The following is a 20,410-nucleotide window of genomic DNA, read 5'->3' on the forward strand; positions in this document are numbered from 1 at the left end:
CTGTACATTAACTTACAAGACTTTATTAAATCTTTAATTCTTTGTTTTAGCCACTGTCTTATATTTTGCCATATGCATGGTTCTAAAATATAGTTCTTTCTGGGTGCTAGCCAACACTCAATGATATCTAAGTGCCACGATACTGCAATAATTATTACTTCAAATTCTTCTTCTCTCCTACTTCCAAGTTGCTTTTCTTTTCTAGACTGTTGATATTCTACCCAGTTTATTTTCCCCAATATATTTATCATTTTATTATTTAAAAATCCCTATTGGCATTTTTAATAATATCTAGAAATGTGGTATGTATCCTATCACTACAAGTCCTTTCTATCTAAAATGGTCTGCTAGCCCACTACAATTCTTTATACACAAACAGGGGCATGTCGATCTTCAGTAAATAGAGATTATGAATAACCTTCTATTTTTAACATTGTTTGTTGTTATGTAAAGTCAGTACCAGTTCCGTATAAATCTGGCACAATTAATAGGCATTCGACTTTTCCTTGCTTTGCTAATGAAAGCAATATAACGATAAAGCTTAAACTACTGTGATGACACAGCTAGCTTCACTAGTGTCCTGAGCATCAGGACTGATAAAGTGAAACACCACTAGGTACCTGCATACCTGCCAGGCAGATGAAAATAACCCCTCAAAGACTGAGTTACTCACATACCATGCTGCTCATGTATTAGATTAACAGCAAACTGGATGATCAATTGGTCCCTATAGAAAATGGCTTCATTTGGGGTCAATAAGCCACATATGGAGACAAAATAGAAGGAAACAGGATCAGAAAGAATCAAGTTGTCAGAGGAAGTGTCCCACCAACAAAACGTAGATAAACAGGAACAAACAAATGAGAAAAAAAATTAATCTGTGTTATGACATACATATTATAAGCAGGTTAAGGACAAACCCTACTCCACTCACAATTGCATTTGAGCAAAGAAATAAGATATCTAGGTTCCTATATCAAATATTCTAACATGTTGATTTAAAAGTAAGGCCTTTTTGATGCAGATTTATAAATGTAGCCTAATGAACCAAAGCAAATCATTACAAGGATCTTGACATCCTCCCAGTAGATAAAATCGATTTGCTTACATTTTCTGATAGTATCAATTATGGAACTTTGAGCATAAAGCTAAGTGTAATTATTAACTGTCTACAGGAGTCCACTCATTAGTTGAGCACTGACCACATGCCATGAATGTGTAGGTACTGAGGATGCAGCTGGGAACAAAACAGACCAAGCCCTACCCTCAAGGAGCTTGCAGTCTGGTGAGATAGATGATAGACAAATAAACAAACAGGATACGTTGGAAGGAACGAGGGCTATGAAGAAAAATAAATCAGGATCAGAGGGTAGAGTCTGACCCTGTGCAAAGATTTTGGAGGAGACACCATTTGAGTGGAGTCCTAGAGAAAGTGCAGGAGTCATAGAGATACCTGGGGAGGAACATTCCAGACAACAGAGGCTGCAAGTACAGAGGCCCTGAGGGAGAGTCTCCCAACCTCACCTCTAGAGTCACAGTCACAATCAAGGCAAAGAAATGAGTGAGTACCTTGTTTCTGGATCAAGGGAATCCACAAGTTTTTTATCAGCTAGTAATTTTTGCAAACTTTGATATAAATCCACATTTGTGTTCAACCTAGAAAAAATAGAAATTTAAAAAATTAGATGATTTTCTAATACCTTATTTTTAACTTTACATGAAAAGAATGGTGTCAGCTTGTACCACACACATGCCCAGAAGCTGAACAGCATAACCTACCAGGAACAGTGTAACCATCCTTCCTTCCTTCTTTCCTTCCCTTCTTTCTTTCTTTCCCTTATTTTGGAGACAGGGTCTCACTCTGTCACCCAGCACCCAGGCTGGAATGCAGTGGCACAATCACAGCTCACTGCAGCCTCAATCTTCTGGGCTCAAGTGATCCTTCCACCTCAGCCTCCCAAGCAGTTGGGACTACAGGCATACACCACCACGCCCAGCTAATTTTTAAATTTAAAAACACTGTAAGGGAGAGCTCAGGACACAGGCTTCAGAGCCACCCAACTGGGATGCAAGACTGGCCTTGTTACTGCTGTGGGACCTTGGACACGTTATTTAGACTTTAGGCTGCCGTGAGGATTAAATGAGATCATGTGTGCAGCACACATTTCCTATGTGAATGAACCATGGCCACTGTTGAGCAGTTGTGCCATCCAGAGAGCAAAGGGCCCAATGCTGGGCAGTGGTCCCAACCCACCCCATAGTACCACTAGCAGGAACCCAGTCCTCTTCCCTAAATGCAAATGCCATGGCCCCCTCAAAACTAAATAGTGAGCTGGGTCTAGATACAATCTGCACCCTGCTGGGTAGGTCTTCAAGGAGGGATAAGGTTGTAAGAACCACTCACCAGTCGCTACTCAGAGACTCAAGGATACTCCTGTTCCTCAGTTGGTTCACAAAAAAACACTTAAGATTTATATGAATCGAAGGGTTTCTGCTACCATTCTCATGGGCCTTCCCAAATACTAGTGAAACGTAGATAGTCATTACCCATCAAAAAAACACTCACCAAGAAGGGCCAGACTCCCACACACGGATCCCAGAAGTCAGGGAGAGAGTGAGTGTGGAGGCCTACCTCCTCCCAACCTGCTCACCCACGGAGCCACTCCATGGCAAAGGAACAGTAGCTCAGAGGCTGCCCGCACTGCCCCCACTGCAGAGGTTTAAGGAAATCTCCCAGTAGTATGTTTTATGTTGGAAGACCCTGAGATAAAGCCCATACTTCAGTCTGTATTTGTCCTCCGACAAAATGAAGAGTGCTTGTCCATGAGACCAGCCCACGTCTAATTCGGCAGGACACAGCATGCAGAGAGCCTCGAGCAGGCAGCCCACTGCTGACTCCTTCCCAGGGGCCTTTCCCCGAGAGGCAAAGCTTTCTCCCAGGGAGTCCCCACTTTCAGCCCTGTCAGCATGCCCAGTATCTGCACTCTGCAGGGCCCCGTTCTGTCCCATTACGCAAGTTGGTTTTCAGCGGCTATGGGAAAAGTCACACACGATTGTGCCAAAGTGAACAAATGTTGGCGACCTGGGGAAAAGCAGCAGCTGCACATCTTGAAGTGTTGGGTCTTCCAAGGAAGCCTCGTCTAACCAGAGAAGCCATCACTCTCCTCCTCCAACAATTTCTGGCATATGAAATTGTCTTATCGTGTTACCCCCTTTTCCCTGTTGTAAATCCACGCTGGCGAGCCCAGGGCTCTCCCTAGCTCTATACACTGCCTGGCATGGTGCCATGCAGCTAAGTGTGTTGGAATACAGCGCTGTCCACCATTCAGTTATTTTAACAAGCATTATGGAGCTCTTATAAGTGGCTTAAAAATACTCACATTTACCCCAAAATCACTTTAAAATAATTCACTCTATCACAGCCTCAGCCAGAGCATGCTCCAGCCCTCCCACAGACTTTTACAGCCTCCCTAGACTCCCCTAATTCCAACTCAACAGGGACCACAAGGACACTGTTTATAGAGCATTTTGGCTTCTCGCCCCGTGGCCCACAGCCATTGATGCAACAGCAATTTAATCAAGCGATAATCTAGTAAGTCCAACTTGCCACTAGGACACTAAAAAGCCCTTATTTAAGGTAAGTGATAATGGTGATGACAAGAATCCTGGGTGTCTGTCATCTCAGATTATCAAGTGACACCTTTACATTGATCTCATTTAACACTCACAAGGACCCTGAGGCAGGGTTAACTTTTCGACCCCATTTACAGACAAGGAAATGACTGAGAGAACAGACAACCAGCCCTAAGGCCCAGTGCCTGCCTGCGAGGTGAGCCAATGGCCTGTCCTGAGCCCTCCCTCCGGCCACCCCTGGTCACACACACCTCCCACCCTGCTGGGTGAGGGACAAGCGCTATGGACAAAACTGCCTACGGCACAAGTCCATGAAACCGGATCACCCAGGACTTGGCATGGAGGTGGGGAGGGGAACAGCACATACTTCTCTACCATGGTGCCAATACTTCTACAAGCTTCTTCCGCAGCTTCTCTGAATGCTGGCTCAGGGTGAGCGATTTTCACAAAATCAGCCTAATAAAGGGGAAAGACAAAACCAAAAGGGAATTTGATGAGAAGCTTTCTTCCAGGATCTGAGGGTGAAAATGAAAACTGGGTTTTAAGATGTGCCATTGGCTTGCCCTATGCATTTCCATTACTGACTTTTTCCTAAGCGAGTAAAGCAAAGCAGCTTCTTTCTGAACATTTAATTCTGTTATTCCTTGAAACCAAGTTTGTTTCACTCCAAAAAAAGACTTTTATTATTTCAGAAAAGTTTTTCTCTTTCAAATATAAACACCAAGCAAATTCTTTCTTTCTTTTTTTTTTTTTTTTGAGACGGAGTCTTGCTCCGTCGCCCAGGCTGGAGTGCATTGGCGCAATCTCAGGTCACTGCAAGCTCCGCCTCTCGGGTTCACGCCATTCTCCTGTCTCAGCCTCCCACGTAGCTGTGACTACAGGTGCCCACCACCACGCCCTCTAATTCTTTATTTCAAAAGAGCAGACACTGGTTTCAAATATTCTACAACTTTCTGGCTAAAATTCTTTGCAGTATGGTTTTCACATGTTAACTTATCTCCAGAAAACAACTCTTAAAGGCTTTTTTTTTTAACTGACACATAGTATAGTTTCAAAACCCATTTAACTACATTCTAGTCTTTGATTTAACTACATGGTAGTCTTTGTGCAGAAAACAAAGGCACGGTCTCTTCATAGTCCTTTCAATAAAATATGAGTTCGTAGTCTCCATGTAATACTGTATACAGCTACTACTGCTGCTGCTACTTAAGTCATTAGACATTAAAATGAGTGACAGTTCTTTTTTAAAAAGATAAAATGATGTAAAACTAAATTTTTGTTTTCATGTCAACTGTAACAAAAAGCAGAGAAACTACAAAACACTACATATTTTATTTGCCAAGAAAATGTGACTATAACATGAAATAAAATCACCACAAGATAAAATTTCTTAATTTTATTATCAAATAGTTTTTAATGCCAAAACATTTAAATCCATAGTTTGGTATATTTGTTGTAACAATTGGTAACGATAAAATAACATTAGTACCAAAGTACCTGAAAAATGAGTTATGTAAATTTACAACATTTTTTTTTTACAAATTACTAATCTACGGGTTGTGAATTTATAATCAATATTAAAATTCAAAACACTAGCATACATATTAAAAACTGATTTGTAATAGTGATGAGGAAAACAGTTGTTACATAAAAACTGTATTAAAAAAGAAAACAAAATAAAATGACTATTTGGTGAAAAACAGTTTATAAAACGATTGCCTTATAACAGTACTAATCTCACTGGCAGGTAATATCTTAAAAATTCAGATATTTTTAAGATATTAAAAATTCAGATAATCTTACTGGCAGGTAATATCTTAAAAATTCAGAACAGAGAAAGGTTCTTTTATACCCAGAGAACTACATATACAAATCACATCTTTTTTTTTTAAGTTTTCAAAATGAGATATTATTATACATGATAAATACTAAAAATGTCAAAATAAGATATAGCGCAGAGAAGTTAAAATCTTTTAGTGAAGATCAAAAGCAAAAATGTAGAAAAAAATCCTAGAATACTGATTAAGATGAAGACTAAGACAACAAATACACAGTGAATTCTGGGATTTGTGACAGCCACGCCAAGTCACCCCTCAGTATCAATGGACAATGGTTTGATCCTCCCACAGATACCCGAATCCACAGATGCTCAAGTCTCTGATATAAAATGGTGTAGTACTTGCATATAACCGACACACAGCACACCCCATACATCAAATCATATCTAGATTACTTGTAATACCTAATGAATGTAAACAATATGTAAATAGCTGATACACTGTATTGTTTTATGGAACAGTGACAAGAAAAGAAAGTCTGTACATGTTCAGTATGAATGCAAATTTTTTTTCCAAATATTTTTGATCCAAGGTTGGTTGACTCCACAGATCCCCCAATCTGGAGGGTTGACGATACAGTGAAATTCACTGACACAGATTTTCCTTTTCTGATTTCTGTGACACAATTAGGTGAACAGGGTATGAAACCTCCTTTTGGCAGTGCGTTTCCACAGCTTCCCCATCATTCAAAGACACATTTCCTATGCACATACTGGAGGCACAGAACAAAAACCCAGTACAACAGAACTACTCAGAGCCTGCAACTTCACTCCAGGGAAAAACCCTTTACAGTAAGATACTTTATCAGTTTTCTTAAGAGCGGGAGGCTTGTGGTGAACATATAATCATCTGAAAGGTGTTAATGCTCAAATCAGTTGTATGGGTGGAAGGAAATTTTCCAAAAAAGGAAAAAAAATAAAGATGGGGATGAGTTATGCTGGGTGAAAGAAGTCAGTCAAAGGTATACAGGATTCCACCTATGTGACATTCTAGAAAAGGCAAAACTATAGGGAGAGAGAACAGATTAGTGGTTGCCAGAGGTTAGTGGGGAGGGGGGGGTGTGACTACAGGGAGATTTTTGGGGGTGGATGGAACAGCTTTGTATCCTGATTGTGGTGAGGGCTGCACAAATTTATACGAGTTAAAATTCATAGAACTGTACCATCCTCCAAAAGAAGTCAATTTTACAGAATAATAATTTTAAAAACAAGTATACATTTTTTTTAAAGATGGAGAGGCTAACAAACTTTGCAACCTTTCCAGGTAAGGATTCATGAGACCTGAGCAGCCAGCCAGCCCTGAAATGGTTGGAACAGGAGAAAGAAGAAGAGCTCGACAGATACCCTGCCTGGGCTGGCAGCCCAGCTGCACCACACGCTGGCCAGCTGACAGCGGGCACATCCCTTCATCACCCAGTGCCTTTCTTCCCTCTTGTGAAAATGGAGATATGCTGAGAAGGTTACCTCAGCTCATCCAGGGAAAGCTTCTTCAGCTAACTAGGCTGTAGAAAGGGCCTACAGTCTAGTTAAATTTCCAAAAACAAGTTAATGCCAGAATATAAACTCCATGAAGTAACAGATTGTGTCTGTTTCATTCCTGCATGTATCCCTCATGCCTAGACAGTGTCTGGCACACAGTACGTGCTCAACATTGACTGAATGTGAGGGAAAAACCTATGCAGTTCTATACCATGTAGACAGGATCATAAATGATCACTATTTAAATTGTGTGTGCTGCTTTCCTTGACAAGAGTAACCAAGAGTCAGCTCCTTCAAGCTGATAGGAAACCCTGCTTCCTGGAAATGAGTATATCGAAGAGATATCTGCACTTCCATGTTTGCTGCAGCTCTGTTCACAACATCCAAGATGAGAAAGCAACCCAACTGTCCATGAACAGATGAATGGATAAAGAAAGTATGGTACTTACACACAATGGAATGCTATTCAGCCATAAAAAAGAATGAGATTATGTCATTTTCAACAACATGGATGGTCATTATGTTTAGTGAAATAAGTCAGGCACAGAAAGACAAACATCACATGTTCTCACTCACTTGTGGGACCTAAAAATAGATACAACTGAATCATGGAAATAAAGAGTAGAAGGATGGTTACCAGAGGCTAGGTAGGGTAGCAGGGTGGCATGGGGGAGGTGGGGATGGTTAATGGCTACAAAAAAACAGGAAGATTGAGTAAGACCTACTATTCGATAGCACAACAGGGTGACTACAGTCAATAATAATTTAATTGTAGATTTTAAAATAACCAGAAGAGTATAATTGGATTGTTTGTAACAGAAAGGATAAATGCTTGAGGGGATGGATACCCCATTTTCCCTGATGTAATTACTATGCATTGCATGCCTCTATCAAAACATCTCATGTACCTCATGAATATATACATGTACCCACAAAAATTAAAAATAAAAAAAAAAGAAAATTTTGCTATCTCAGCAATGGATTTCCTAGTTGCTGAAGAGATCTAGGTATACACTTCTATTTCAAATTTAAAATGTTAAAAAAAAAAAGTCTTTACAATCATTTTGATGTCAAAACTTGGTTTTTAATTAAAAAAAAAAAAGCATTCCTGAAAAGGTTTATTAAAACTGGTTTTCACACCTCTTATGAAAAAGAAGTGGCTCACACTTATAATCCCAGCACTTTGGGAGGCCGAGGCAGGAGGTTCACTTGGGGCTAGGAGTTCAAGATCAGCCCGGGCAACACAGGGAGACCCTGTCTCTATTAAAAAAAAAAAAAAAAGAAAAAGGGGAATTTTGTTGTAAATGTACACATAAAGTGTTCTTAGAATTTTGGGAGACACTTTCATAAATGAAGAATCTCTGTCAAATGAATATATATGTAAATATATATTACCCAAATATAGCAAATATTTGCTATATTAGTATTCATTCATTATATATTACATGTATATTTTATTAAACATACGTATTAAAGTACAAGTTCTAAATATCACCTTTTCCTATAATATTTTCCCATTCCTAATGACATATTTCATCATAAAAAATTATACCCAATGGATCTCAGTTTCAGACATTTTTAACTTTATAATCTAATATTAATAGTAAACAACAAAGGATAAATTTCACTTAAATTTTAACAAGTTGAAAGAGAGGTAGCTTCAAGTCTGAGGTAAAGCACCTTACCAAGTCGGCCACTCTGCATAAGGAATCCGAGAGCTCATCGAAGATCAGCACGGTCTGGGGCCCAGGTGGGGTGGAACATGCACGGTCCACAAGCAATTCTGTCTTTCTCAAGGCTTTTTCTTGTGCAATATGAAATCCTTCTGGGGCACTCAGCTCAGGAACTCCAAAAAGACCCTTAGAACCAAAGAATACGTCTGATTTATAACCAAAATTCAAAATTGTGCTTTTTTTATATTTACTAAAATTACTTTTATCACAAAGGAGATCTTGACTTTCATTGGTGTATCATGTTATACCTGTGATCACAGATACCACTATCATACTCCCCATATCACTCCACATAAATTACACTAAAAATGTTTTCAGAACATAATTTTTCTTCAATTTTTAATTATTTTCCGGAAAAAACAACAACAACAATGGTATGGGTTCAAAATCCAGCTGTCACTTCTACAGAACCTAAGAGTGGCCGCAAAGATTAAATGAGATCATATATGTAAATATATATATATATATACATAAAGCAGTGTTTGGCACAGAGCATTTATAGATGTTAGCCATAATTATTATTAGCTTATAACCCTGGTCATGTTATTTCTCCTCCTAGGAGAAATATTTTTTTCATCATGTACAATGGGAATGACGATACATACCTTACAGCATGGATACAGGTAATAAGTATATGTAAAGTACTAACAGCAGCAGCTGACAAGGTGAGATCTCAGTACATAGTACCAATTATTCTATAACTATCAAATAGGGAGGATGAGTTGACTATGAAGCAATAGATATTTTAGAAAAATGTAATGAACATATTAAAATCATAGGCTGAAACTGGGAGCAAATTTTATACGTTACAAAGACATTTCAATATCTTGATAAAAACAAAAATCACTGATCTAATGGTAATGACCATTCTCTTGTTACCTATTCAATCACACTTGTTAGCACACTCAGGAAGGCAGGGGGAAAAAGCATTTAATATGCACCTACTGCATACCATGAAGTGTGCCTGCTACTTTACATAGGTTCTCATTTAAATCACACAATCCTACAGAACAGAGTATCATTCTTTTACAGATCAGGCCACATGCTTTAAGACGTTAGAAAAAACTTGTTTGAGGTCACAAATTAATATTGGGAAAGACAGAACTCGAACCCGCTCTGTACATCTGTAAAGCCCACACTTTTCCATACTTCTCTATTACAATTTATCTGTTTGAAAGTCTTCTCTCCTGAAAAGGTGAGCTTCCAGACCCAAGAGCCCTGCCCTTCATTTCTTTAACCAGCTATCCAATAGAATGTCTAACACATGGGGGAACTCAATGAAAGAAACAAGTGACCGGAGCAGATGCTAGGCTTTGTTAATTCACTTTGTAGGTGCTTAACGCATAGATTTTCAGAAATACGAACAGGTAAACCTTCAGGCCTGACAAGCCCTACTGTTTCTACAAGAAGGGATGGATGAAGTTAAGCTAGTAATCTCTCTTCAAAATATATTACAAGATAAAAAATAAAATAAAAGAAAGTCAGTGGGAGACAAAGGAAAATCAGGACCAAAAACAAATGTCATCTTTATACTGATTTAATTTGATTCAAGCACAGACTACTTCCACTTCCCAGTACAACCTGCCCATATTGCTCTCGGGAATTCTAACTATCGGATTACCAGTGACCATAATGCTAAAAAACTGAATAAGGCTTTTTTTTTTTCAAGGCAAAAATCAATTCTAAAATTTGAAAATCTGCTATCAGTGCCGAATATCATGATACAAAAAGGGAAAAATAAAAGCTAAAATTAGTTATATCTCATCCACCCAAAATCAGGCTTCCCCTCACGTCTTTCTGCTCAGCGCCTACAAGTAGGTCTCTTCACACCAACTATGTTAATACCAACACTACATACCCTTAAGGAAGGTGGTGTAGCAAATTTCACACAAAATAATTTTTAAATAGACAAAACTGATAATGGAGATAAAACAAGAATCACACACTTTAGCTCAGTGCAACAATACCCTAGACTTGTCTTTATAAGGCAATACAGTATAACGAAATTTTAAAAGGCAAAAATAAAAGTAATCCTTAACCTAAAACGGACAAAATGTACAAACTCCAAGTAGAACAGGCATCAGGTAAGTCCTTTCCAACCTTGCCTTCCTCTCACCTTTCACTAGACAACGCAGGCTAGTGACTTCCTGGGGTAAGAAATCAAAGTGACCAATTCCATGGCACTATGGGAAGTGAGACTCGTCTCAACAGAGTTTTGTGTTTTAAAACAAGAAAGCCCAAAGCTTTGAAATAAATTAATTAATAGATGATGGAATTTCAGGTATTAATGAAATTACCATTACTCGACTGCAGGCAGCCGTGTCCTTGCAAAAAGACCATGTGATGCCGCCTGTGAACGCACAGGGATAGGCCTCTTAAGGCAGGACTGTAGCGCTGGAGCTAAAGGGCTTTAGCAGGGGTGCGCCTGAGTGTATGCAGAGGGCGGGTCCTGGCAGGACGAATTCACCGCCACTGCCAGAACGAACTATTCAGATTCACGTGGAGCAAGGGGCTCATGCAGAAGCAGTTCCCGGACCCGACACTCTGGGTAGGAGACCACTAAACCCGGCCCCTCAAAGCAGAGGTGACCTTGCCCTCATCGAGAGCGCACACAAGACGCCACTGTAAAAGGTGGGTTCGCTGCTCGCCTCCTCCCAGGCCCAAACAATCTCGCCCTGATTGTTGCTGGCCGCGCGGAGCAGGGGTCGGCTTAGCTCGGGGACTGAGGGGAGCTCCTCCTGCGCCGCTCACCCGGCGCTCGCCGAACAGGTCCAAGCGGCTGCCCTGGGGCTTGACATTGAAGGCGGCGCCCACGGGAGACCAGCTGGTGCTGACCCTTCGGGCCCGGATCCCGGCTTCGAGGCTTCCCCGGCCCGCCCGGCGGGGCGGCAGAGCTGCTGCTCTGGCTCCCAAGCCGCCCAGCCTTCCGACGCACAGCATTCTAGCACCAGAGCAGTCCCTTCCTCCAACGCAGATCCCTGCCCTGCTGCTTTCGCTGGGAGCGCGCGCTCCGCGTTTCCAAGGCAGCAGCCCACGCCGCCCCACGTGACGGCCCCGCTTCCGGGTCTGGGCGCGGCCTCAGGACGTGGGCACGTTGTCGTCCAGAGAGCAAGAGCGTCGCTCCCCCTCGCCTTCTCGGCCGCCCTCCCGGTTTACCGCCCCCTGTGTCCAGAGTAAGAAAAGGCTAGGGTTGCGCTTCCCTCCCAAGTTGACTAGGGGTGGGCGCGAGTAAAATCATGACATATTCGAATTCCAGTGGACATTAGATATTCTTTGAGAGACGGCAGGTACTTGAGTAAACAAGAAATGCCCACCATAGGCCTGAAGGAGAAGTTTCCCTTTTAACCTACTCTCTTGGTAAATTTATCCTGCACTTCTCTGTTTGGTGTCTCTGTCCGGTAACTTTTTACTCTTGCATAGCTCAGTTAAAAATTTTAGATGGGAAATAGTGAAAGAAGTCTAATGGGATTTTCCCTCCAGGGTTTCAGAATTGCCTGGGACCCGTGAACCCTTTTTTCCTTCCCCTTTCTCTCTTTTGGAATGGATTGTCTACCCTATGCCTGTCTCCCCCTCCAACCCCCGGTCTTTTAGAAGTGGATTAACTCGTCTCGCTTCACAGGATCACAGATGGAGAGACATTTTGCCACACGATGAATCACACAGTAAGTCTCCTCTGTAGCTTATTTAAATGATGTAGATGGTGAGAGGAGTTGATGCGGAAAGTGTTAAGACTTTTGGTAATGTTGACATGGTGCGAAAATGTATTTTGCACATGAGAAGGAAATCAATTTTGGGAACCAGAGGGCAGATTGGGTTGAACTGTGTCTCCCAAAATAGATGCTGAAGTCCTAACCCTCGGTGCCTGTACATGTGACCTTATTTGAAAATATGGAGTTTGCAATTATGATTAAGATGGGTCATACTAGATTAGGGAAGCTGTTCTTGTAAGAAGAGGAAAATTTGGCTGATACAGGAGGAGGACAGCCACCTGAAGATGGAGGCGGGGACTGGAGTGATGCTGCCACCAGCTGCCAGAAGCTGGAAGCAGCAAGGCTGCATCCTCCTGTATCCCCTTTGGAGGGAGGATGGCCCTGCTGCTACGGTGATCTCAAACTTCCAGCCTACAGAACTGTGAGAAAGTCCGTTTCTGTTGTTTAAAGACTCCCAGTTTGTGTACTTTATTAGGGCGATCCTAGAAAACAAGTAGAGATTCATGTCTGGCAAATAATGATCAAACAATGATTTGTTGGATAGAATGGTGATTAAAACCTAGGTTAGAAAATGAGCAAAATGGGAGGGAAAGCACCAGGACAAATAGCTAATGCATGCAGGGCTTAATACCTGCATAGGTGATGGGTTGACAGATGCAGCAAACCACCACAGCACATTTTTATGTAACAAACCTGCACGTTCTGCATATGTATTCCAGAACTTAAAAATACATTTTTTAAAAAAAGACAAAATGAGCAGTGTCTACAGCTTTCTGGAGTGTGACAGCATCACCAGCTTAAAGCTGTTACTAGTACTAAATGGAATAAACATTTCCCTCTAATTTCCCCTTAATGTCCTCAGAAACACAGATGAGGGATACATCTTCATATGACTCCTCAGAGCACTAAAATGATATCAAAACACTCTTCCCACAAGAAATGCACAGACAAAGGATTCTTCAGATAATAGGAATAAGAAATGTGAAATAAATTAGAATAAACCATGCAGCTATTTTAAATATTTACTCCTGGAAAAATAGTAAGTTACATAGAATCAGTTTTGGGAATAACTTTTCCGTTTTCACCTTTTTATGATTATTGTAATAATTGGAGGAATTAATAAAGTAAAACCATCTGAATAAGTTCATCCCAAGCTGATTCTGATGGATGGTCTGGCAGATTTATAAACTCTCCTCTGTCACTGGCTGCTGAACAGAAGGAACCCTGTGAAAGTTGTGTCATCGTCCTCATCAGCAAACAAGCCATTGAACCTCTCTCCTCCTGTCACCTGCAGCCACATCTCATCCCCGAGCTTCAGCTGCAGGACAATGCTGCCAGAGGCCTGGTCCTCAGAGCTCACGTAAGCATCTCTGGTGTGCAGTATTTTTACTCCGTTTTTGACCAAAGACACCTGAACATTCCTGGAGAAAACAGTGATGTGGTAGGTGAAGTAATAGACCCCAGCAATGTGGCACGTGAATTTCCCCACTGCTGTATCATAATGGTTGAATTCATTATACAGGATCTTATCAAATTTAATGGGCACATCTGAAGAAGGAAACTTGCTCAGCACCGTGAGCCCCACAGTGAAAGCACTTTTTGGCAAGACTAGAGTCTCACCGATTTTCCCTTTCTCTCCTCGATCTCCTTTCCAGCCTCTTATTCCCCGGACTCCTGGCTCACCCTGGGGCCCCGTGGGTCCAGCTTCTCCCTTGGGACCAGGCTTTCCAATAGGGCCCATGGGGCCCGGTAAACCAGTTGGGCCCAAAGGCCCAATGTTGCCCCTTGGCCCCTCAGGACCAGTGGGACCCACGTCACCCTTATTCCCCTTCTGCCCCTGAGGCCCAGTCTCTCCTCGGAGGCCTTTCTCTCCCATGGGCCCTGCAAGCCCCTTGGGGCCATGTTTTCCTGGGGATCCTCTTGAGCCTTGATCACCTTTGATGCCTTTTGCTTCAACTTTTCCATCTGCTCCTAAATAGAGAAAGAGCAAATAAAGAGATAGTTTGTGAAAGATTCCCTTGTGAACAACTTTGGTTTTTCTATAATTGAGCTCACAAATGAAACAAAGTAGTACACAGGTTCAGTATATGCCCAGAGTTTAAAATTCAATTACTCCATCTGGGTGCGGTGGCTCACACCTGTAATCCTAGCACCTTGGGAGACCGCGGCAGGAGGACTGCCTGAGGCCAAGAGTTCAAGACCATCCCGGCCAACATAGCAATTCCCTGACTCTAAAAAAATAAAAATAATAAAAAAATAAGAAAATAAAATTCAATTACTCCAGCCCAGCTCAGTGGCTTATGCCTGTAATCCTAGCACTTTGGGAGGCCAAGAGAGGCAGACTACTTGAGTCCAGGAATTCAAGATCAGGCTAGGCAACATGGCAAAACCTCATCTCTGCAAAAAGTACAAAAATTAACCAGGTGCGGTGGCACACAATTGTAGTCCCAGATATTCAGGAGGCTGAGGTGGGAGGATGGCTTGAGCCCAGGAGGCTGAGGCTGCAGTGATCCGTGATCAAACCACTGCACTCCAGCCTGGGCAACAGAGTGAGACCCTGTCTCAAAAAAATAAATAAAAGTCAATTACTCCAATTACACACGTGTGTGCACATGGACACACACACACACATCCCAACACACCTTTTGACTACTGTCTACTAAATTAGTGTCAGGGCTCACATTAGAAATTACAACCCTACCATCTAAGTCTACCATGCTGGCTATTAAATAATGTCAATCCATGACAAAAAGCACTCTGCAGAGCAGAGACAGACAGATTAACTGACACTCAACCCTAGTCGTGACATCCTCTAAAAACCTCCTCCCTGGAGTGAACATAAAATAAAGCCTGCATCGAGGCATTGCCCTCTCCTGCCCAACCCCAGCCCCAACCCACCTATCCCACCGGCAATTCATCATCTACAGAAACCTTGCTGCTTCCTTGCACCCCCACCCATACCAAAGAGCCGTCGTTGCAAGTGTGGACTCTGAGGCTAAGTGCCAGGTTTCCATTCTGTCCCCATATGCACACAGGACGTCAGACGAGCTAGTGAGCCTCGTGCCTCTGTTCCCTCACCTACGGAACTGGGGTGATAAAACTACCTAGTGTCTGGGGATGTTGCATTTGGTGAGTCAGTACATGAAAAGCACAAAGTGAAGATTACACAAGTTTGCCACTACGACTACATCCCAACCCATCAGGGACCAGTTCTAGTGCCACCTCCTCCATGCAGTGCTGCCAGATGCACCAAGTCAAAAACTCAGTCTCACTCCTCAGTGCTCATCCACTGCAAGGTTCAAAGTTCAGCAAACTACAGCCACAGGCCAAATTCAGCCTCCCTCCCGCAAGCAAAACAAACATGGTTGACATTTTTTTTGTTTTTCTGGTTTTTGTTTGTGACAGGGTCACTCACTCTGTTACCCAGGCTGGAGTGCAGTGATGAGATCATGGCTCATGGCAGCCTCAAACTCCCAGGCTCAAGTGATCCTCCCATCTCAGCCTCCTGAGTAGCTGGGACTACAGGCATGTGCCACCATGCCTGGCTAGTTTTTTTATTTGTATAGACAAAGTCTTACTATGTTGCCCAGGGTGGTCTGGAACTCCTAGGTTCAAGCGATTCTCTTACCTGGGCCTCCCAAAGTGTTGGGATTACAGGTGTGAGGCATGGTGCTCGGCCATGGTTTGCATGTTTAAATGGTCACAAATAATATTCCACAATACATGGAAACCATGGGAAATTCCCATTTCAGTCTTCACACATATGGTGTCACTGGAACAGAGCCATGCTTATTTATGGAGCATCTACAGCTTCTTTTCACTACAAGGGGAAGTTGAGTAGTGGTGACAGATCTGTGTGGAGTTGAGAATATTTACTACCCAGCCCTCTGCAAAGCCTGCCAATCCCTGCAGAATCCCCCCATCTGGAGAGTAAGAACTGTGTTGCCTTTATTATAAGATTATAATCAGCATGGAGGACTTGTCCATGGTAATATTGTTAAATAGTCGACAGCTCAGAATTAGAGCACCATAAATAGGAACTACTAACCTCGTTCTCCCTTCTCTCCACTCGTCCCATCCTTCCCCGGGCTGCCAGGACATCCTGGTTCTCCTAGGTGGAAAAGCAGAAAACAGGCATGAGTTGAAATTCCATTTCTGATTTTTCTGGCCATTGGTCTCCATCAGCCATGTGTTGGAGAGTCTGGGGGTGACCCCCGCCCTGACGGGCACTCTGTCCTCCACACGAGCGCAGGTGGAGAGAGGCAGGCATGAGCGGGCATCTGGGGTGCTGAGCTGCGTGGGATAAGTGACCTAAGAAATGAACTGAGTGACTTCCCAAGCGCCCATCTCTAGGACGTGCCTAGAGCGCACAGCAAGACAGGACGAAGAGGGAGTGTGTGCAATGGGGACTGACTGTCACAATTGATTGTGTTCCTCTCCTGCGACAAGGACTTGGGACGTGGTCTGAATGTTGGAGGTGCGAGGAGGTTTCCTCACTCTGTTTCTCTTCCATTACTCTTGAGGAGAGTGGAATGGAAGATTTACTAGGCTCCTATGAAAACACAGATGACTATGGTTACGTGACACTATCCCAAGATAGAAGAGAGAGTTCTGGAGGGATCCCTCTAGTGCCTTACACTGGGGGAAATGCTACTAATCGAGCTGGCAGAGAACATCAGGTGAGTGGGGCTCTGCTGACTACACTCAAGTCCTTGTGCTCAGAACAGGCCCCCCTGAGCTCCAGGTCGGCGTGCTATCCGTCAGCGGGTTGAAGGTGGCTCTGGCTATGGCAGTAGAGTGCTCATTGGGCCACAGCTCACCCCAGACTCTGGCTTCTCACAAAGCAGCAGAGACTCCCATACTTCAGACCCACTGACGTGGCTGTGGGGCGACAGGCGCAGGCTGGGCCGGCTTGCAGGTCCTGAGACAGGACTGACACAGGCAGACTTATTTCTGTCACGATGTCTGTTCTCCTGGGACACCAGCGCTCCTGAGTGGGGCCTTGGTCAGCGTGGGACCTCTGAATGGAGGGGGCTTATCCCTACATTTGCCCCTCCCTGCGCTCCCCTTCCCTCCCCTCTACTGGCTGCTCCCCTGTGTCTTCCTCTCCTTCCCTCTTTTTGTTCCCCTGCTTGGCTCTCGTTTCTCCCATTCTCTAGAGCAGTGGCCTCTGAGCTTTCATGATCACGCACCACAACTCACAAAGCATGAACACAGACCCCAATCAGTAGACATTTATATGTTTCTACATTATGCACAGGTAGTATATGAAAAATATGTTTGGTATAAAACATACACAAAAATACACTTTAAGATGGTAAGATAAAAATGAAGTAAATTTTTAGTGTGAGCAATGTGATTGAATGTCCTTCTAAGAAAGAATATATATTACAAATAATACTTATGAATTACATAGAAAAAATAGATATAACATTTGCTTCTAAGAAGTATGTAAAACTTGAAAGAATGGACATTGGTGAGCAGAGGAGAGAAATTCAACACGGAAGAGGTAGAGAAATTTGGTATTGAATATAGAAGTGTTTGTCTTAGTTCTCTGTATTTTGTATCACCTATTTATCTCCTTTTATGTGTAATATTTTATAACAAAAATTTAAAAAATGAAAATCCTAAACATTCAGAAATAAAATACACACAGACACAGACATACACACACACACACACACACACACACACACCACTGTGGTCACAGTGTGAGGGCAGAAGACCTGATTTCATTAAGGGTAAGGTTTTAGTATTCATTTGGACTGGGCTATTTGCTACCGGGGGACTGGAACAGTCTCAATGAGCTGGAGATGTGAGGAGCCAGGAGAAGACACCTCACAGAGCAGATGTGCCGGTTAGAAAGAAATAAAGTTGCTTCCTGGTGACCCTTGGCTTCATCCAGCCCATTCAAAAAACTATCAGGCCACCAAATGCCATAAAGTGAGACATGTTAGAAACACAAACTTATTTGTAAAAAGGTCCATAGAAGTTTTGATATTTTCTTTCTAATGCCACTGAACTGTGCTCTTAACCCAGTGAATCATTCTGCATAAGTCTTAGATATGTGACCCTATGGTCAAGACCAGGCCTCAAGAATGGTACCCCATTCAGAAACCAAGTCTATTGGTTGTTGTTATGGAAAGCACTCAGACTTCCAGGCTTTGGCAAATCTCCCTCCCAGAGGATGGATTCTGTCCCCAGATCCCCAGACCCTGCCTAGGTCATAGATTCATAAGCAGCAGCTGTATGTGTCATCTGTCACTCCGCATCTCCTGCTTCATGACATGATATGGTATTAGCTCTCACCTGCACTGCAGCTGGGTGCTTGCTGCCAAATAATTCATGATCAGATCTCTCTATTGGCCTCGTGTTGCCAAAAATCCAACATACCTGTCACCTGAGGTGGGAGGATCCATGACATTGTATACTACTGAAAATGTCCTGCGGTGTCAGAGATGAGAGAACCCAGGAGGGCAGGGGTCATGGCGATCTGGCCCTGTGCTCTCCACCAGCACCTGGCACAGAGTCTGGCATGGAGCAGACCCCGTGAGTGTTGCTGGGCAGATGGGTGGATGGATGAATGGGGTCAGGCTCCAGTGAATGTTGCTGGGTGGATGGATGGATGGGTTGTGAGTGGGTAGGTGGAAAACCACACAGATGATGAGTGAATGAGATGAAAGTAATGAAGAGAGAAGCTCAAAGGCAGCCGAAGCCGTCAGGTGAGTACCTGCATCGCCTTTGTCACCCTTCGCTCCGTCTCGTCCATCTCTTCCAGGCAGACCATTGTGACCGGGGTTCCCAGGGATTCCAGGGTGCCCTTGCCTGCAGGTGTCCTGTGAGTTTATGTTCCCTGTGCAGATTTCAATGGCAAGCAGAAGCCACCAGATCCTCATGGTTCAGATGACAGACTGAACTGAAAGAGGGAAACAGAAACCCAGAGGAGAAACCTTTGTTGCTGGGGCCCTGGACACAGCCTCCGTTCTGTGCAGTGGGAAATGGATGAGCTGTCCCCTGCCCCAGACCCACACCTGGACAGACTTGGCAGAAGACTCAGGGCAGGGGAGCAAGCTGGTTATTACCAGGATGACATTGTCCTTGGAAGGTAACACTTGTGATTGGAACCACTCTTCAAGCTGAACGGGCAATAAAAAAAAGCCAAGTTTAAGGTCAGGATACTCTTCCGTTCATCATTTCACTTTGAAGAAATCACTTCTCTTAACCACAGACCAATGCTTACTTATCTCACAGGACTATTGTAAAAATCAAATTTTATCACAATATGCATAAAGGCACATGACAAATAGTGAAGCAAACATAGCATTACCATCTGATCCAGCAATTCCACTGCTGTGCATCTACACAAAATAATTGAAAGCAAGGACTAGAACAGATGTCCATGTTCGTAGTTGCATTATTTTCCATAGCAACCCAAGGGTCCCTCAGTGGATAAACAGATACATGCAATGTGGTAGGTCCATACAATGGAATATTCTTCAGCCTTAGAAAGAAAAGAAATTCTGACATGTGTTACATGAATGGACCTCGAGAACATTATGCTAAGTGAAACTAGCTAGTCACAAACAGACAGACCTGGATAACTTCAGTTATAAGAGGTTCCTAGAGCCGTCAAACTCATATAAAGAAAAAGTAGGATGATGGTTGCCAGAGGTGAAGAGAGAAGGAAATGGGAGTTGTTTGATGGGTACAGAGTTTGGGAAGATTTTAAAAGAGTTCTGGAGATGGGTGGTGGTGATGGTTGCACAACAAAGAGAATGTACTTAATGCCACTGAACTGTGCCCTTAAGATGGTTAAGCTGGTTAGTTTTATGTTATATATTTTTTTTACCACATTAAACAATTAAATTAAATTTTTAAAAAAGTAAAGCATTCCAAACAGTCTTACTGTAATGAGAGGTATTCTTTGAGTCAGGGTCTTGTTTTTCTAGGAGGCCACTGTGAAGAAGGGCCACACACACAGAAAACATCACCTAGTTCGGGAGAAGTGCATTTTCAAG

At 42.9% G+C, this 20,410-nt stretch overlaps 2 protein-coding genes and 1 long non-coding RNA gene across 14 annotated transcripts in view, besides 2 other annotated features; 1 reads left to right on the plus strand and 2 right to left on the minus strand.

Moving 5' to 3' along the window:
* The window catches only part of MIPEP (mitochondrial intermediate peptidase), a 159,212-nt gene extending 147,510 nt beyond the window's left edge, over positions 1-11,702 (minus strand). For 2 of the 4 annotated variants that reach the window (NM_005932.4, XM_011535098.4), the window contains exons 1-4: positions 11,434-11,702; positions 8,635-8,808; positions 4,001-4,089; positions 1,570-1,656 (exon numbers count right to left, since the gene is read on the minus strand). In NM_005932.4, coding sequence (NP_005923.3) covers positions 1,570-1,656; positions 4,001-4,089; positions 8,635-8,808; positions 11,434-11,622 — 539 coding nt within the window. In that variant the 5' untranslated portion in view covers positions 11,623-11,702. Of the gene's footprint in view, positions 1-1,569; positions 1,657-4,000; positions 4,090-8,634; positions 8,809-10,979 lie in introns of all 4 variants that reach the window. The other 2 variants (XM_011535097.3, XM_047430368.1) reach the window with 1 other exon arrangement.
* PCOTH (prostate and testis expressed opposite C1QTNF9B and MIPEP) lies at positions 11,170-14,405 on the plus strand. 7 transcript variants are annotated; one of them, NR_172510.1, is made up of 4 exons: positions 11,170-11,313; positions 12,302-12,344; positions 13,687-13,833; positions 13,915-14,405. It is a non-coding gene; the product is annotated as a prostate and testis expressed opposite C1QTNF9B and MIPEP (long non-coding RNA). The 7 variants fall into 7 exon arrangements; NR_172516.1 differs by lacking the exon at positions 11,170-11,313 and adding an exon at positions 11,768-12,039; NR_172515.1 differs by lacking the exon at positions 11,170-11,313 and adding an exon at positions 11,768-12,039 and having other exon boundaries at positions 13,687-13,752.
* Positions 11,482-11,982: an enhancer, noted in NCBI's record as "H3K27ac hESC enhancer chr13:24463319-24463819 (GRCh37/hg19 assembly coordinates)". NCBI's record gives its function as "activates a minimal SCP1, AML or CMV promoter by ChIP-STARR-seq in primed H9 embryonic stem cells {active_cell/tissue: H9 hESC(primed)}" and the evidence as "EXISTENCE:reporter gene assay evidence [ECO:0000049][PMID:30033119]".
* Positions 12,042-12,101: an enhancer, noted in NCBI's record as "active region_7469". NCBI's record gives its function as "activates an Ori minimal core promoter by ATAC-STARR-seq in GM12878 lymphoblastoid cells {active_cell/tissue: GM12878}" and the evidence as "EXISTENCE:reporter gene assay evidence [ECO:0000049][PMID:35858748]".
* On the minus strand, positions 13,401-19,804 carry C1QTNF9B (C1q and TNF related 9B). 3 transcript variants are annotated; one of them, NR_104426.1, is made up of 6 exons: positions 19,720-19,804; positions 19,424-19,528; positions 19,123-19,308; positions 16,441-16,503; positions 14,328-14,363; positions 13,401-13,813 (listed from the first exon to the last, which is right to left on the minus strand). NR_104426.1 is itself a non-coding variant. In NM_001007537.3 (5 exons), exons 3-5 carry the CDS (start codon positions 19,286-19,288, stop codon positions 13,591-13,593), a joined length of 1,002 nt encoding a protein of 333 aa, NP_001007538.1. In that variant the 5' UTR covers positions 19,289-19,308; positions 19,424-19,528; positions 19,720-19,804; the 3' UTR covers positions 13,401-13,590. The 3 variants fall into 3 exon arrangements, 2 of the variants coding, with proteins under 2 accessions (NP_001007538.1, XP_047286257.1); NM_001007537.3 differs by having other exon boundaries at positions 13,401-14,363; XM_047430301.1 differs by lacking the exons at positions 19,424-19,528; positions 19,720-19,804 and adding an exon at positions 16,813-16,944.
* Positions 19,805-20,410: the final 606 nt, after the last annotated feature.

Source organism: Homo sapiens, chromosome 13 (genome assembly GCF_000001405.40).
Source record: "Homo sapiens chromosome 13, GRCh38.p14 Primary Assembly".
In the NCBI taxonomy this organism is placed as follows: domain Eukaryota; kingdom Metazoa; phylum Chordata; class Mammalia; order Primates; family Hominidae; genus Homo; species Homo sapiens.

Bases quoted from the DNA above. Each gene is read 5' to 3' on its own strand.
- C1QTNF9B (NM_001007537.3), bottom strand. From the start codon at position 19,288: ATGAGGATCTGGTGGCTTCTGCTTGCCATTGAAATCTGCACAGGGAAC. The intron at 16,504-19,122 runs GTACTCACCTGA...TTTTCCACCTAG, and splicing joins GGGTGACAAAGGCGATGCAG to GAGAACCAGGATGTCCTGGC. The intron at 14,364-16,440 runs GTTAGTAGTTCC...TTCTCTATTTAG, and splicing joins TGGAGAGAAGGGAGAACGAG to GAGCAGATGGAAAAGTTGAA.